At 40.5% G+C, this 15,286-nt stretch overlaps 1 protein-coding gene and 1 long non-coding RNA gene across 2 annotated transcripts in view; one reads left to right on the top strand and one right to left on the bottom strand.

Moving 5' to 3' along the window:
* The window catches only part of ACBD3 (acyl-CoA binding domain containing 3), a 42,063-nt gene that overhangs the window by 23,697 nt on the left and 3,080 nt on the right, over positions 1–15,286 (top strand). The window contains exons 4-7 of the mRNA NM_022735.4: positions 1,356–1,514; positions 3,687–3,861; positions 8,212–8,398; positions 10,426–10,710. Of these exons, the coding sequence (NP_073572.2) occupies positions 1,356–1,514; positions 3,687–3,861; positions 8,212–8,398; positions 10,426–10,710 (806 nt within the window). The remainder of the gene's footprint in view (positions 1–1,355; positions 1,515–3,686; positions 3,862–8,211; positions 8,399–10,425; positions 10,711–15,286) is intronic.
* ACBD3-AS1 (ACBD3 antisense RNA 1) lies at positions 8,068–15,042 on the bottom strand. The gene is made up of 2 exons (NR_146443.1): positions 14,977–15,042; positions 8,068–8,442 (listed from the first exon to the last, which is right to left on the bottom strand). It is a non-coding gene; the product is annotated as an ACBD3 antisense RNA 1 (long non-coding RNA).

Raw genomic sequence — 15,286 nt, 5'->3', positions numbered from 1 at the left:
CAGATCACTTGAGTCCAAGAGTTCAGGACCAGCCTGGGCAACGTGGCAAAACCCCATCTCTACAAAAAAAAAATACAAAAATTAGCCGGATGTGGTTACAGGTCCCTGTAATTCCAGCTACTCAGGAGGCTAAGGTGGGAGGATCATTTGAGCCTGGGAGGCGGAGGTTGCAGTGAGCCAAGAATGTGCCACTGCACTCCAGTCTGGGTGACAGAGTGAGACCCTGTCTCAAAAAAAAAAAAAAAATAGGTCATGTTATTACAATATTTTGAGACTTGGCTGTGGCTCAGGTAGTTGTTAATCACTTATAGGAGTTAGAGGGGAGAAAGGTGAGGTAGCCCAGACAATTCTCGTGGTAGGTTTATGAAATAGTGTCTTATCTGATACTCCTTAGAAATCTTCCCTTTCATCCTGTCTGCAGGCTCCCTGAACACCATACCACTCTCAGACCCGGAAGATGTCCATTCCTAGCACAATAGGATCTGTTCTTTTTGGAAGGGTCTTGTGGGGTGGGTGAAAGCTGGGCAAGGGCTGCCCTGAGAGGTTAACCGTTCTTTTTTAAATTAAAAGCTTTACAAAAAATTTTAATTTCAGAAATAATACACAAATATATGCAATATAAAATTTTCATTTATGGCAGTATATGAAACACAAACTGAAAAAAATCTTTTTTCCCACATTTCTTTTAATTCCACTCTCCTCTGCATAGATAATAACTGATAAATTTAGGGTATGTCCTTCCAGATCTTTTCCTTTGTATTCACCTTTTTTTTTTTCATTAAGCAAGTGTATTACATGTCTTTACATATTAGGCAATGTATTTCTATCCTTTGGCTCTGCGATATTTCAGGGTGGATTTTTTACTTCTGTACACGTTTGTCGAGTGCTTGTTCTTTCCAGCACTGTGCTAAGCCCTGAGGATGTCGTGGTGTGAGATAGGCAGTCTCTTCCCCTATGGAGCATCTAGTTTAATGGGTAATGCAGATCTATTGCTGAATGTATCACACAAATTTAATTATAATGACAGCAGGTATTATGAAGGAAAAGCTTTTAGTGCTGTGAGCATATATTAGAGGGGATCCTTCAGGGTATAGGAATATCATAATGACTTAAGTAGTTTCTTATGATGGACACATTTCTGTTGCTGTGCAACAATAATTATTCTTGATGTGATTTGTATATTGTGCGATTGATTCCCTATAAGTTTCTGCTAGTAAAGTGTATGTATTTTAAATTTTGATGTATATATCCACATTGTTCTCTAAAAAGGTCATGTCAGTTTTCCCTGGGAGCTAAAGTTTTATTTTTAAACAGGATTCAACGTATAGGGTTCATTCTCTATCTTTGCCTTGTAGGAAGGAGGAAGAGGAGCGAAGGCGGCGTGAAGAGGAAGAAAGAGAACGTCTGCAAAAGGAGGAAGAGAAACGTAGGAGAGAAGAAGAGGAAAGGCTTCGACGGGAGGAAGAGGAAAGGAGACGGATAGAAGAAGAAAGGCTTCGGTTGGAGCAGCAAAAGTAAGTTTATTATGTGGCTTATGTTTTAAAATGAGAAATGGAAAAAAAATAGAATAAAAATAAGAAATGAGCGGGCCAGGTGTGGTGGTTCACGCCTGTAATCCCAGCACTTTGGGAGGCGGAGGCGGGCAGATCACCTGAGGTTGGGAGATCACCTGAGGTTGGGAGATGGAGACTATCCTGGCTAACACAGTGAAACCCTGTTTCTATTAAAAATACAAAAAATTAGCTGGGCGCAGTGGCATATGCCTGTAATCCCACCTACTCAGGAGGCTGAGGCAGGAGAATCTCTTGAACCCAGGAGGTGGAGGTTGCAGTGAGCCGAGATCGCGCCATTGCACTCCAGCCTGGGTAATGAGTGAAACTCCGTCTCAAAAAAAAAAAGGAATGTATTAGAAGGTTTGGGGGTTCACTTGCAGAACCCAGAGATTGGAAGCAGGAGCTGAGGTTGCTTGGTTGCGCTCTCTGTTTCTTGTCTCTGCTTCTCTCAGCTTATGTCTCTGCTTCATCCTTGCTCTCTGCAAATTGTCAACTGTCTGCTTTGGCATATGCAAGGCTGTCCGAGGATTTATTTGGTCTATGTTTCCATGCATCTGACAGAGACTGGCTGGAATCTGTGAGACCCAGTTGCAGTTTCCCAGGACAGAGAATCTTGTTGGTCCAGTCTATGTCAGATATCCATTTATAGTCCTTAGTACAAGATTTGGAGGCTTCAACTATTGCTTACTCAGTAAGGGCTTTGAGACTCAGAGACTGACAGGTTCTTCAAGAGGGAGCTGTGGGTACAAGGAGGCAGTGATTAACACCCATAAAACACTGGGAAGTAAGTCTGAGTTTGTAGGGGTGGCATGGCTTGTAGGTTAAACCAGAGAACATGAGAGTCCATTGATTTCTTCTCATTATTTCTGGGTAGTTCCTCAGAAAAAGGTTTAGTGCTAGCCTCAAACTAATCCAGGCCCTCATTCAACTTTGGAGAAAGACTATGAATGCAGCTCTTTTTTGGGGGAGGTTGTCCTAGGTGGATCGAATGTTGTGCTGTATGTAGGAGTTTGTGAGGCTTTGCTTTGTTATCTATTAATAGATGGCTTTGAGGTCTCTGTTAAGTTGGTCACATAAGTAAGTTAAGAAGCATGTGGTTGCTGGCTGTGGTGGCTCATGCCTGTAATCCCAGCACTTTGGGAGGCCGAGGCGGGCGGATCACTTGATTGAGGTCAGGGGTTTGAAACGAGCCTGGCCAACATGGTGAAACCGTCTTTACTAAAAATATAAAGATTAGCCAGGCGTGGTAGCAGGTGCCTGTAATCCCAGCTACTTGGGAGGCTGAGGCAGGAGAATCGCTTGAACCTAGGAAGTGGAGGTTGCAGTGAGCTGAGATCACGCCACTGCACTCCAGCATGGGTGACAGAGTGAAACTCCGTCTCAAAAAAAAAAAAAAGAAGAAGCATGTGGTTTATCTATAAAAGAATATGAGTATCTCTAAACTAAGCATGCCAAGATATTTTCAGTATTTCCTCTATTAAGACAGGCTTTAAATTAAATGCTGTGGACCCTTAATTTTTCACTGGCTTTATTTATACTTACCAGGGCCACCTGTAACATCTTCCAGCTATTCTTCTGCCTCTTACTGTTTTTTATGTATTTAGGTACAGAAGCCATAGCCAACAGTTAAATACCTCATCTATGTCAGAGATGACAATCCATCATCTTAAAGCATCGTGGTAAATTAGTGTAGCTCTAGAGCCAAACTGCCTGGATTTGCATCAGGCTGTAGCATCTGCTAGCAGTATAGTCTTGGGCAAGTTACTGAACCCTCTGTCAGAGGGTTGTTGTGAGGACTAAATGGGTTAGTATGTGTGAGTACTTTCAACACTGCATGGCACATAGTAAGGGCACAATAAATGTTAATAATTATGATGGTGGTCATGATGATGATGATCATATGCTTATCTTCCATCCCGAATTTTCCTGGAAAATCCTAAGTAAAAAATTAGAGGCCAGGCTTATTTTCTTAAATCTTTCTTCTGGACCCAGAACACATACTAATTGGTGTACATTACTAGCTTAGTTGTTTTTAAGAGTTACAGACTGTAAAAGTAAGTAATAAGGACATTTTATTTTGTCATGAACAATCTCCTGTAGCCAGACTAGTATATATATTTTTAATGTTTTTAGGCAGCAGATAATGGCAGCTTTAAACTCCCAGACTGCCGTGCAGTTCCAGCAGTATGCAGCCCAACAGTATCCAGGGAACTACGAACAGCAGCAAATTCTCATCCGCCAGTTGCAGGAGCAACACTATCAGCAGTACATGCAGCAGTTGTATCAAGTCCAGCTTGCACAGCAACAGGTACGATAGACAACCCTAGAATTCAGCCTTAGAGAGAGTTTTTAGTTTCATTGGAACCCAAGTTCTTTTTTAACAGTCGCAAATGAATTTTGCATTAGTTAGCCTCTAAGGTGTAAAGTAACTTTTGGGTGATCTTTTAGGCAGACTTGAGAATTGCACAGGCAATTGTGAGAGAAAATATGTGTTATCGAAGCAACCGATGATGTTATATTGTCATAAGGGTATTTGGGAGTTGTATGGGTTGAGTGTCTTTACTGTGAGTCTGGCATAGACCCTAATAGTGGTCCTGGAACATGAGGACCTGAGTAACTAGCCATAGTTCAGAGATGTCCTTCAGGCAGTGCATTGTCAGAGGCTTGGACAGCCTCCAGTGGGAGGACTCCCCTGCCCTAAGACCATGGGCTGGTTCTGCAGAGCTAGATTGGGTCCATTTGACTTTGTGTTAGGCACCATAGTTAGGCAGTGCTCATAACAGCACATTGCTATTCCTCCTCCAACTGCCTGCCCCCAAGTATTTTGCTTCCACATAGGAGAGGTTGGTTTAGGTGAAAGAACATGGGACTGGGAGTCTCATAACACTTGGATTCTCTTTGGGCTTTGACATTACCTTGTTTGATCTCAGACAAGTTATTACTGCTCTGATTGTTCTGCTCTTTCTTTCAGTCCGTAACAATAGGATATAAAATCAAAGCACCTGTCCTGTTAACCTCACAGGACTATCAGAGGAGTCAAATGAGAAAAGAGTTACCCTGTGAACGATTTTTGTACTTGTAGAAGACACTAATTTTACATTCATTTTTTACATCTTGTGCAGGCATAAAATACCTCCTTAAACTTAACGTAGCTTAGTTTAACTTACTTAATTTTCACTTATAAAGCAGTTACCACCTGTCAAAAAATCTGAGTGAAGAAAAGTGTTACATTATAGTTGCTCAGCATTTCTTACTGCATGAAATAATCTTTGTTGTTTTTGCCAAACTCTTTAAATTCCTTGAAAATGTGTATTCTTACTAAACAACCTTTTCTCCTGAGTCTTTGGCATCAGTTAGAAGTTAAAAAGCACTGCAAGTTTTTTGTAATCCTGAAGAGGAGGAAAAGATGCCAAACCAGAGTTTATTCAAGATAATAAGTGGTATTTTTGAGAGATTTATTCTCTCTCCTCTGAAGCCTGTTTCTACTTTAGTTTCACTTCCATTTTCCTGCTTCTTTGATAGGCAGTGAGATGATTTTTAATAGCACATACACTCTGTCCTGTTTATAGGTTGCTATCATTTAATGAGAAGAAAGTCAAATAGGACAAAACCGCAAATCTTTGAAACAAAACTAGAAAGCCATAATGGAGGCTGGGCATAGTGGCTCATGCCTTTAATCCCAGCACCTGGGGAAGCCAAGGCCATAATGGTTGCTTGAGGCCAGGAATTTGAGACCAGCCTGGGCAACATAGGGAGACCCCATCTCTTAAAAAAGAAAAAAAAAATTAGCTGGGCATGGTGGTGCACGCCTGTAGTCCCAGTTACTTGGGAGGCTGAGGCGAGAGGATCACTCGAGCTCAGGAGTTTGAGGCTATAGTGAGCTGTGATGGCGCCACTACATTCCAGCCTGGGTGACAGAGTGAGACCCTGTCTCGAGGAAAAAAAAAGCCATAGGCCAGGTGTGGTGGCACATGCCTGTAATCCCAGCACTTTGGGAGGCTGAGGTGGGTGGATCACTTGAGGTTGGGAGTTCGAGAACAGCCTGACCAATATGGAGAAACCCCATCTCTATTAAAAATACAAAATTAGCCTGGCATGTTGGTACACATCTGTAATCTCAGCTACTCGTGAGGCTGAAGCAGGAGAATCACTTGAACCCAGGAGGGGGAGGTTTCGGTGAGCCAAGATTGTGCCATTGCACTCCAGCCTGGGCAACAAAAGAGAAACTCCGTCTCAAAAAAAAAAAAAATCCATAATTGAGATTAGAGTGATCAAACTCAGTTTATCAAATTTATTGGTTGCTTCTGAGAAGAGAAAAGGAAAGAGACTGGGGAAGGAACAAAGGGAACTTTACTCCTATAAAATATTAATTTTTATATAAATAGCAAAATGAACACATTTGTTAATTTTGGGGTGTAGATACATTTGTGGGTGTTTGATACGTTGCTTTTATACCTTTCTGTGCTTTTTTAAACTTCCTAATAACAGGAAGAGAGTATGGAAATATATCATTACAATCTATTACATGTAGTACAATAGATTCATGGTCGGGGGTTCCCAGAGAAAGTTGTTTTTCTGCTAGAGCCTTTCAAGAAAGGATTAGTGGAGATGAGGGACCATTTGAGCTGGGCCTATTGATCATCAAAAATGCTCTTTTGCTTTCCTGTCATGCAGTGAATGTTCTGAGTGTGCTGACTTGTTTTGATTTTAGGTACTTTCTCTGGAAGCTAGTATCCCTTCTAGAAAATTGATGTGGAAATTACTGAAAATCCAGACCTTGGAAGAAGATATCTTAAAATCTTAATTGTGTTATTAACCTATATTAGCAGCAAAGAGAAGCATTGCTATTCATTTAAGTAATTGGCTTGTAAATGATACATTCAATGAAATGTGTGTAGAGATATGCCAAAATATATCATTATCCCTACCCCATGGGATCATAAAGGCTTTTTCCGTGTGTGTGTGTATGTGTGCGTGTGTGTATTTTTTTTCCTGCAGTGAACATATACGTACTTGCTTATTTGTGACAGTGTTTTAGTTTAAAACATTGCTTACATGCCCAAATGCTCATCAACAGTAGAATGGATAGATTTTATCTTTTTATGATGGAATAACTTAAAAGTAATGCAAACAACAAAATACAATTACTTGTGACTCTATAGATGTAGCTTATAAAAGTAATGTTGAGTGAAGGTAGCCAGACATAAAAAAGAATGTATACTATACAACCCATTTCTTTAAAGTTTTAAAATAGGCAAAGCAAATCTATAGTGTTATAAGTCAAATAGTTGTTACCCTTCAGGGCAGGTGCCCAGAAAGGGGTACCAGGGAATATTCTGGATGCAGATACTGTCTTGATCTGAGTATTAGTTACATGGATGTGTTTGATTTATGAAAATTGATCAAGCTGTGTAATTTATCATTTGTACACTTTCTACATGTATGTTGTAATTCAATTTATAGTTCCCCACCAAAGTTACCTAAGTAATACTCAGATATTTGAAGTAGTATCTGTCCATATTGATTTAGAAGAGGAATGTCCCAAAATAGTCCTTTGGATTTAAGATGTTTTTACTGCCATTTTGACTCAGAGGACATTTTGATTTTATATTTATGAATACACATTTCAATCATAACTATATAAACAGTGACAAATTTTCATTGAGAAAATATTTTTAACCTCAAATTGCATCCTGTAAGTCTGTTTGATTCTTAGGTCAGCATTTTACAACACGATTAACAATTTTCAATTTCATTGTGATCATAATTTTTCCCTGAAGTTTTAATTTATTGACTTTTTGGGGTCAATTATGTTAGAATAAATTGTCCATATTTGATTTTTTTATTGCTTTGGGGGCCCATACCAGATTTTGCCAATTATAGCTTCTGCCTTTGTGAATTTTCTTCTGTGACTATTCCCACCAAGTTTAATTTTTCTAATTCAAATTTTGTGTATTTAAAGTTTATCAAGATTTTTTTCTTCCATCAATTTCAAGAGCACATTACTGTGTTCAATTTTTGCCTTTAATAGTTTTATTTTGGGTTGATTATTTCTACTTTTTTTTTTTTTTTTTGAGATGGAGTTTCGCTTTTGTTGCTCAGGCTGGAATGCAATGGCACGATCTCAGGTCACTGCAACCTCCGCCTCCCGAGTTCAAGCGATTCTCCTGCCTCAGCCTCCCAAGTAGCTGGGATTACAGGCGTGTGCTGCCATGCCCAGCTAATTTTGTATTTTTAGTAGAGACGGGGTTTCACCATGTTGGTCAGGCTGGTCTTGAGCTCCTGACCTCAAATGATCCACCCACCTCCGCCTCTCAAAGTGCTGGGATTACAGGTGTGAGCCACTTTGGCTGGCCTTACTTTCATTTTTCCTGGTTAGTTTTTATGGTGATTCTCAGATCACAGAAATGTGAGCCTTAGTTGCAGGTTTTTGTCCACATTAATTTTTATTGATTTTTTATTATTTTTAGCTGTCAGTTTGATATTGTACTAATAATATTCATTATAGACAGGATAAAAACTGATAAAAATTTATTAGTAATTTCTTGAGCATAGCACTTTGGTAGGGCAAAAGCATGGTATCAGATGTACTCCAGGGCAGATGTCTTATTTGCTAGCCTTCCTGGTCAGTGTGTCTTCACTTTCTCTTGGTTTGTAGGCAGCATTACAGAAACAACAGGAAGTAGTAGTGGCTGGGTCTTCCTTGCCTACATCATCAAAAGTGAATGCAACTGTACCAAGTAATATGATGTCAGTTAATGGACAGGCCAAAACACACACTGACAGCTCCGAAAAAGAACTGGAACCAGAAGCTGCAGAAGAAGCCCTGGAGAATGGACCAAAAGGTAGGTTTTGCATATGTGTTTGTCCAGATGTCATAATTCCAAATCTGTGAAAGGCAAAAGTCATGAAGTCAGGTTATAATTAGCTTTTGAGAACAATTACATATTTGTGAGAGTTGAACATTTTTTTACTCTTTTTAGTCTGAATCTAATGCTCTGGTGACTCATAGACCAGTGTAGAAGAGCAAATCAGATGTCTTTGGACACTTTTAAGACAAAAGTTATGTTTTGTCATATATATATATATAAATTATCTATTGCTGCATAACAAATTACAGGCTGGGCGCAGTGGCTCATACCTGTAATCCCAGCACTCTGGGAGGCTGAGGCAGGAAGATCACTTGAGCCCAAGAGTTTGAGGCTGCAGTGAACTATGATTCCGCCTGCCTGGGTGACAAAGCAAGACTGTCTCTCAAAAAAAAAACAAACAAAAATTAATTACACCTAAATTTAGTAGCTTGAAATAACAATAAACATTTATTACTATCTTGTACAGCTTCAGTGGGTCAGGGTTTCAGGAGCAGTTTAGCTGAATGGCTCTGACTTAGGCTCCCTCATGAGATTGCAGTCAAGATGTTGATGCCAGGACTAGAAGATCTGCTTCCAAAATGGTTCCCTCACATGGCTGGCTTTTGGCTGGAAGCTCAATTCCTGGCCCCATGAAGCCTCTCCATAGGGCTTCTTGAGGGTCCTCAAAACAGTTACTGGCTTCCCCTAGCAGAAGTGGCAGTGTCTTTTATGCCTTGACTTTGGAACTCCCACCATATTCTGTTGGTCACACATACCAATCCTTATATATTGTGGGTGGTGACCTCACAAGTGCATGAAGACCCAGAGGTGAGAATCTCTGGGGACCATCTTGGAGGCTGGCTACCATAGAAATAGATATATTTTTGAGACTAATGTATCATGTTGCCTAGAAAATAACTGCATTTTCAAAGCTCTACTAGCTTTCCATGGGCAGCTCATTTGTTCATTCAGCAATTAGTTGAAGGTTTCCTGAGTGCTAGGAGTACAGTGGTGAGGCAAAATAACACACAGAAAATGTAGATTGTAGCTGTGATAAGTACGGTGATGGAGAGAGAGGTACATTATCTTTGAGAGAATGTAAAACAGGGAAGTGTGACCTAGTCAGAGAGGCCACCAGAGGCTTCCCAGAGGAAGGGACAATTGACCTGAGATATCTGAAGCAAGAGGAGTTAACTAAGTAAGGAGGAAGAGGAGAGCATTTCAGTGACAGTGGTCAGGGATGGTGGTATGGTTCATAAGAAATTTGGTTTCAGAGATCTTCCTTGTCTGTTTAGAACAAGTAATAATTGCTTCAGAAAAGGCTTTGAAATCCCTTGGTTTACTGCCCCCTTCCCTTTTTTTTTCTTATCAAGGGATTATACTAGCATCTTCAAATGAGAGAAAATATTTCAAAGGCTCTGTGACTAACTTTGAAAAACTTATTGCATAGTCAAGTGCACATAGGTACTGCTCAGTAACAAGACTTTACCCCTTTTTCTCAGTCCCTAGTGGTTCTAATCCTGTCCGAGTTTTTGTTTCTTTGAGCTCCTTTAGAATAGCCCCTAGAACTTTGGGATAGTTGGAGGTGAAGAATTTTTCAACAGACAGGCTGAAGTCAAAGTCCAGCTTTCTTTGTTCACATCCACAAGAGTAATTTATTCCTAAAGCCAGAATCTCTCTTCCTTGCTAGAATATTTCCCTCACTCCAGCTGGGGCCTTCCCAAGGTCATTCTTGAATCCCCATAGAGGGAGTGTTGAAAAAAATTCGTTTCTAAAATTGTGGGCTGCCATTGTTACTTGAAGAAGTACGATGACCTCTGAGTGCCTGCAACATTGTTAAACATAGTAATCTGGAGAGACTCCCATGGGGAGGCTTTTTTATTCCTCCAAGTCCTTGATCTAAGCTAGACCATATTGTACTTGGTGCCTGAGTACAACTGATCAGGTAGTGCTATGAAAATGTGGCTACCTGCAGGGTGAAGGCTCTTTTTCTTTAGCTTTTTAATACCTATTGCCTTTAGAATCTCTTCCAGTAATAGCAGCTCCATCCATGTGGACACGACCTCAGATCAAAGACTTCAAAGAGAAGATTCAGCAGGATGCAGATTCCGTGATTACAGTGGGCCGAGGAGAAGTGGTCACTGTTCGAGTACCCACCCATGAAGAAGGATCATATCTCTTTTGGGAATTTGCCACAGACAATTATGACATTGGGTTTGGGGTGTATTTTGAATGGACAGACTCTCCAAACACTGCTGTCAGCGTGCATGTCAGTGAGTCCAGCGATGACGACGAGGAGGAAGAAGGTAGAACCCTTGGTCCATATTCAGTAGCTGCTGGGTTGTGTGTTGGCAGAAATGGTACATAGTTCAGGTGTCACCCAGCCTTATGCTTCCTGACTAACACTTCATGGTTAGGGAACACTTTCTTCATTAGTGGGACCTTGGGCTGAAAATGTTATGAGGCCAGGCTCCTGTAGGGGACTGGGGCCTAAACCTGAATTTTTCTGAATGCCAGGAAAATCTATTTGGCAATTTGCTATTTTACTCCTTTCTGAATACTATTTTACTTCTAACCGTGTGTGTTGAAAAGCCAAATATGCAAGATTACTTCAAAAAAAATTTTTTTTTTTTTGAGACAGAGTCTCACTCTGTCACCCAGGCTGGAGTGCAGTGGCATGATCTCTGCTCACAGTAGTCTCGGCCTCTTAGGTTCAAGCGATTCTCCTGCCTCAGCCTCCTGAGTAGCTGGGATTACAGGCACGCACCACTGTGCCCGGCTAATTTTTTGTATTTTTAGTAGAGACGAGGTTTCACCATGTTGGTCAGGCTGGTCTCGAACTCCTGACCTTGTGATCCACCCGCCTCGGCCTCCCAAAGTGCTGGGATTACAGGCGTGAGCCACAGCACCCGACCCACTTTGAAAAATTTTAAAGGAGCAAGTAAGAATTCCTGTCAACCCTGGCATTTATTTAAATTTATATTGTTGATATTAGCATTTTAGGTCATTATTCTAAAATTTTTTATGTAAATACAGAAACTCACCAGAATAGTCCACTTAAAAAAATTTCAATTATTTTTCCATTTGGAAATCCCTATTTTGCTAGAGTGGAATTTTTTTACTTCCTCTGAATAAGTAGACAAAATTGGGTGTTTTAAAGGACAGTCTAAAATATCTTGGTCTAAGAAATAGGTTATAAATGTATTGCTTTTTGAGAAGAGGGTCTCTTTATTTTTGTTACCCAGGAAAGTTAGAATGTAGGGTTTGTTTATATACACTTAATAAGCACTTAATTTATTTGTTGACTTGATTGAAAGTGATATGGAATGCATGCCCTGTGAGAATGGAAAAGCACCATGTCTCAGTTCTTCCAGACTAACTGACCTTTCAGGTGGCTTGTAAACAGACTGCTTGTTCTTGAAGAGGGTTGGCAATGTTGCTTTACAGATTACAGTGGGATAAAGTTAAAAAGATATTATTGAAAGTACATGGAATAAGCCTGAAAGTTCTATCAACTTGTGAAGTACAGAGTTGTCCAATCATATTACCATACCATGCAACACCCTGGGGCCTCTGGGGCTATCTACAGAAACATACACTGCAGGTGTGCCATACATTTCTTGAAATTAAGTTTAATATTCAATTTAACAGTTAATATTTAATGCTAATCAAAAGATAATCCAAAGATAATTCCGTATCATTATCTACATGAACCATCAGAGTATCCCAGAAATTTCAGTACATCTTGCAGATTGACTTTTACCCCAGAAGCAGATTTAAAATCCTTCATTATACCACAGGTCCAGATTCTAGCTGGTAAATATGGAAGCATGAGCTGCTTTGTCTTACACGGCATTTTGTTTTCATCAGTCTTTATTCCTGAGTACCACCAGCAAGGCAAAGCATTGCTCATAAATAATACTGACTGAGACAGAAAGAAAAAATGTAAGATTGAAAAAGCCTGGGCCGGACGCGGTGGCTCACGCCTGTAATCCCAACACTTTGGGAGGCCGAGGTGGGTGGATCACAAGGTCAGGAGTTCGAGACCAGTCTGGCCAACATGGTGAAGCCCTGTCTCTACTAAAAATATAAAAATTAGCCGAGCGTGGTGGTGGGTGCCTGTAATCCCAGCTACTCGGGAGGCTGAGGCAGGAGAATCACTTGAACCTGGGAGGCAGAGGTTGCAGTGAGCCGAGATCACACCACTGCACTCCAGCCTGGGCAACAGAGCGAGACTCCGTCTCAAAAATAAAAAAAAGAAAAAGCCTGTCTGGGCATGGTATCTCATGACTGTAATCTCAGCTTTTGGGGAGGCCAAGTAAGGAAGATCTCTTGAGGCCAGAAGTTTAAGACCAGTCTGGGCAACCCGTTTTGTAGAGTGACACCACATCTCGACAAAAAAAATTTTTTTTTAGTTAGGTGGGTGTGGTGGCATGTACCTGTAGTCCCAGGTACATGGGAGGCTGAGGCAAGAGGATTGCTTGAGTCCAGGAATTCGAGGCTGTAGTGAGCTATATGATCACACCACTGCATTCCAGCCCGAGCGACAGAGCTAGGCCCTCCCTCTAAAAAAAAAAAAAAAAAATTAAAAAAAATAAAAAGCAGTTAGAGAGCAGGACTGTAGCAGATTAGCCAGGGGGCACTACTGTTTTCTCATGTGACCTTCAACAACATCAGAACCTGTTCTGTCCTTTCTGTTGCATCACAGGGACTCATTAAAGTCAGACTGTCTGCAGATGTCTGGGAAGGAAAGTTTTTTGTATGCATACAAATTACTGTACTTACAAAGAGCTTTGTGAGGCCAGGCACGGTGGCCCCTGCCTGTAATCTCAGCACTTTGGGAGGCCAAAGCGGATGGATTGCTAGAGCTCAGGAGTTCAAGACCAGCCTGGGCAACATGATGAAACCCTGTCTCTACCAAAAATACAAAAAACTAGCTGGGTGTGATGGTGTGCACCTGTAGTCCCAGCTACTTGGGAGGCTGAGGTGGGAAAATTGCTTGAGCCCAGGAGGTAGAGGTTGCAGTGAGCTGAGATCAAGTCACTTCACTCCAGCCTGGGCCACAGAGCCAGACCCCATCTCAAAAAAAAAAAAAAAAAAAAAAAAAAAAAGATGGCTGGGCGCAGTGGCTGACACCTGTAATCCCAGCACTTTGGGAGCCTGAGGTGGGTGAATCACCTGAGGTCAGGAGTTCAAGACCAGCCTGGCCAACATGGTGAAACCCCATCTCTACTAAAAGTACAAAAATTAGCCAGGCATGGTGGCACATGCCTGTAATCCCAGCTACTTGGGAGACTGAGGCAGGAGAATCGCTTGAACCCGGGAGGTGGAGATTGCAGTGAGCTGAGATCGTGCCATTGCACTCCAGCCTGGGCGACAGAGCCAGACTCCGTCTCAAAAAAAAAAAAAAATGAAAGAGCTTTGTGAATAAGAATTCTCTGTTCAGAAGTTGGTTGAGGTAATGTATTTCTCCTGGCTTGCCTATTAGAGAGCTTCTAAAAGGTGGTTACTGCCTAGTCTGAACCCTCAGCTGATGATAGTTTTGGGGTTATATTGGTGTTGGGAAGATCACTAGTGAAAATGGCAGGGGTTCATTTCTAGAGGTAAGAACCTTAATATCCTTGATCTTAGTTCTAATATGTCCCTCAAATGAAAGATGGCATTCCCTGTACTTGTACCATTCCTAATCATAAAATGATTTGCAGCTAAAACATTTTAGCCTCACAGCAGTGAAGCTTTATCATTCCTAAGAATTGTTCATTACATGAGCGTCACTTCATCCCATTTAAAGATTTAGCTCACAAATTGTATTTGTCCATATGCCTTAGAAGCTACTGTCCTACCGTGTCTTGTATTTCATATGGTAGAAGAGTCTGAGTTTTTTGGGTTTTGGTTTGGTTTTTCTTCCTTAGGTCTTGAAAGGTAGACAGAGGAGTTTGCTTTCTCTGAAGAAGCATGGATGGTAACACATCCTCCTGTTTTAATTCTCCATTTTCTTCATTGTTTACAGGTCCTAAACCTTGGCTTAAATTCATAAAAGATGCCTTTTCATCTATCCCAGTAATCTTTAGTTTTATAGATTTAAAACAAAATTTGAGTCTTGAATCAATGGACCAGTCTATTTCTTGGATGTCAACAATAGTGTACATTTTGGATGGTTCTGTATTTCTCATTTGCATGTGAAACATGCTTAATTATAGGTATTTCTGTGGTTAAGTAAATCTGGTTTTGACCTACCTTTATAAGAGTGCCATCTGCTTTTTTAAAATAAACTTTTAATTTTAGAATAGTTTTAGATTTACAGAAAAGTTACAAAGATAGCACAAAGAGTACCCATATACCCTGCACCAAGTTCCCTCTGTTGTTAGCATCTTACATTGTACTGTGGTGCACTCATCACAGCTAATGAAACAATATTGATACATTGATTCATTAATTAACTAAAGTCCATATTTATTCAGATGTTTTTAGTTTTTACCTAATGTTCCAAGATCCTTTCCAGGATGCCACATTATAGTCAGTCATCATATCTCCTTAATCTGCTATAGACGGTGAGAATTTCTCAAACTTACCTTGTTTTAAATTCCTGATAGTGGCCATTGACAAGCATCACTCAGTGTGTTGCCAGAATTCACTCTGCCATGTTATAAACCTGAAAATCCATGCCTGTAGTCCCAGTCTCTTAAACAAACAAACAAACAAAAACAACAACCATAAACCCGAAAGTCTTGTCTTCTGTGCTGAATACTCCCTTGACCTCTTTGAGCTGGTTTGTATTAAATATGTTAAACTGTGACTTCGAAGCTGGTTCATAATTTTCTCATTCCTGTAGGTTTCTAGAGGCATTTTTTTTCCTAACCTCATAGCATTACAGTTCAAAAA

This window comes from Homo sapiens, chromosome 1 (genome assembly GCF_000001405.40).
Source record: "Homo sapiens chromosome 1, GRCh38.p14 Primary Assembly".
NCBI lineage: Eukaryota > Metazoa > Chordata > Mammalia > Primates > Hominidae > Homo > Homo sapiens.
Note: the sequence above shows the minus strand (reverse complement) of the source record. Positions and strands in the feature narration are given on the sequence as shown.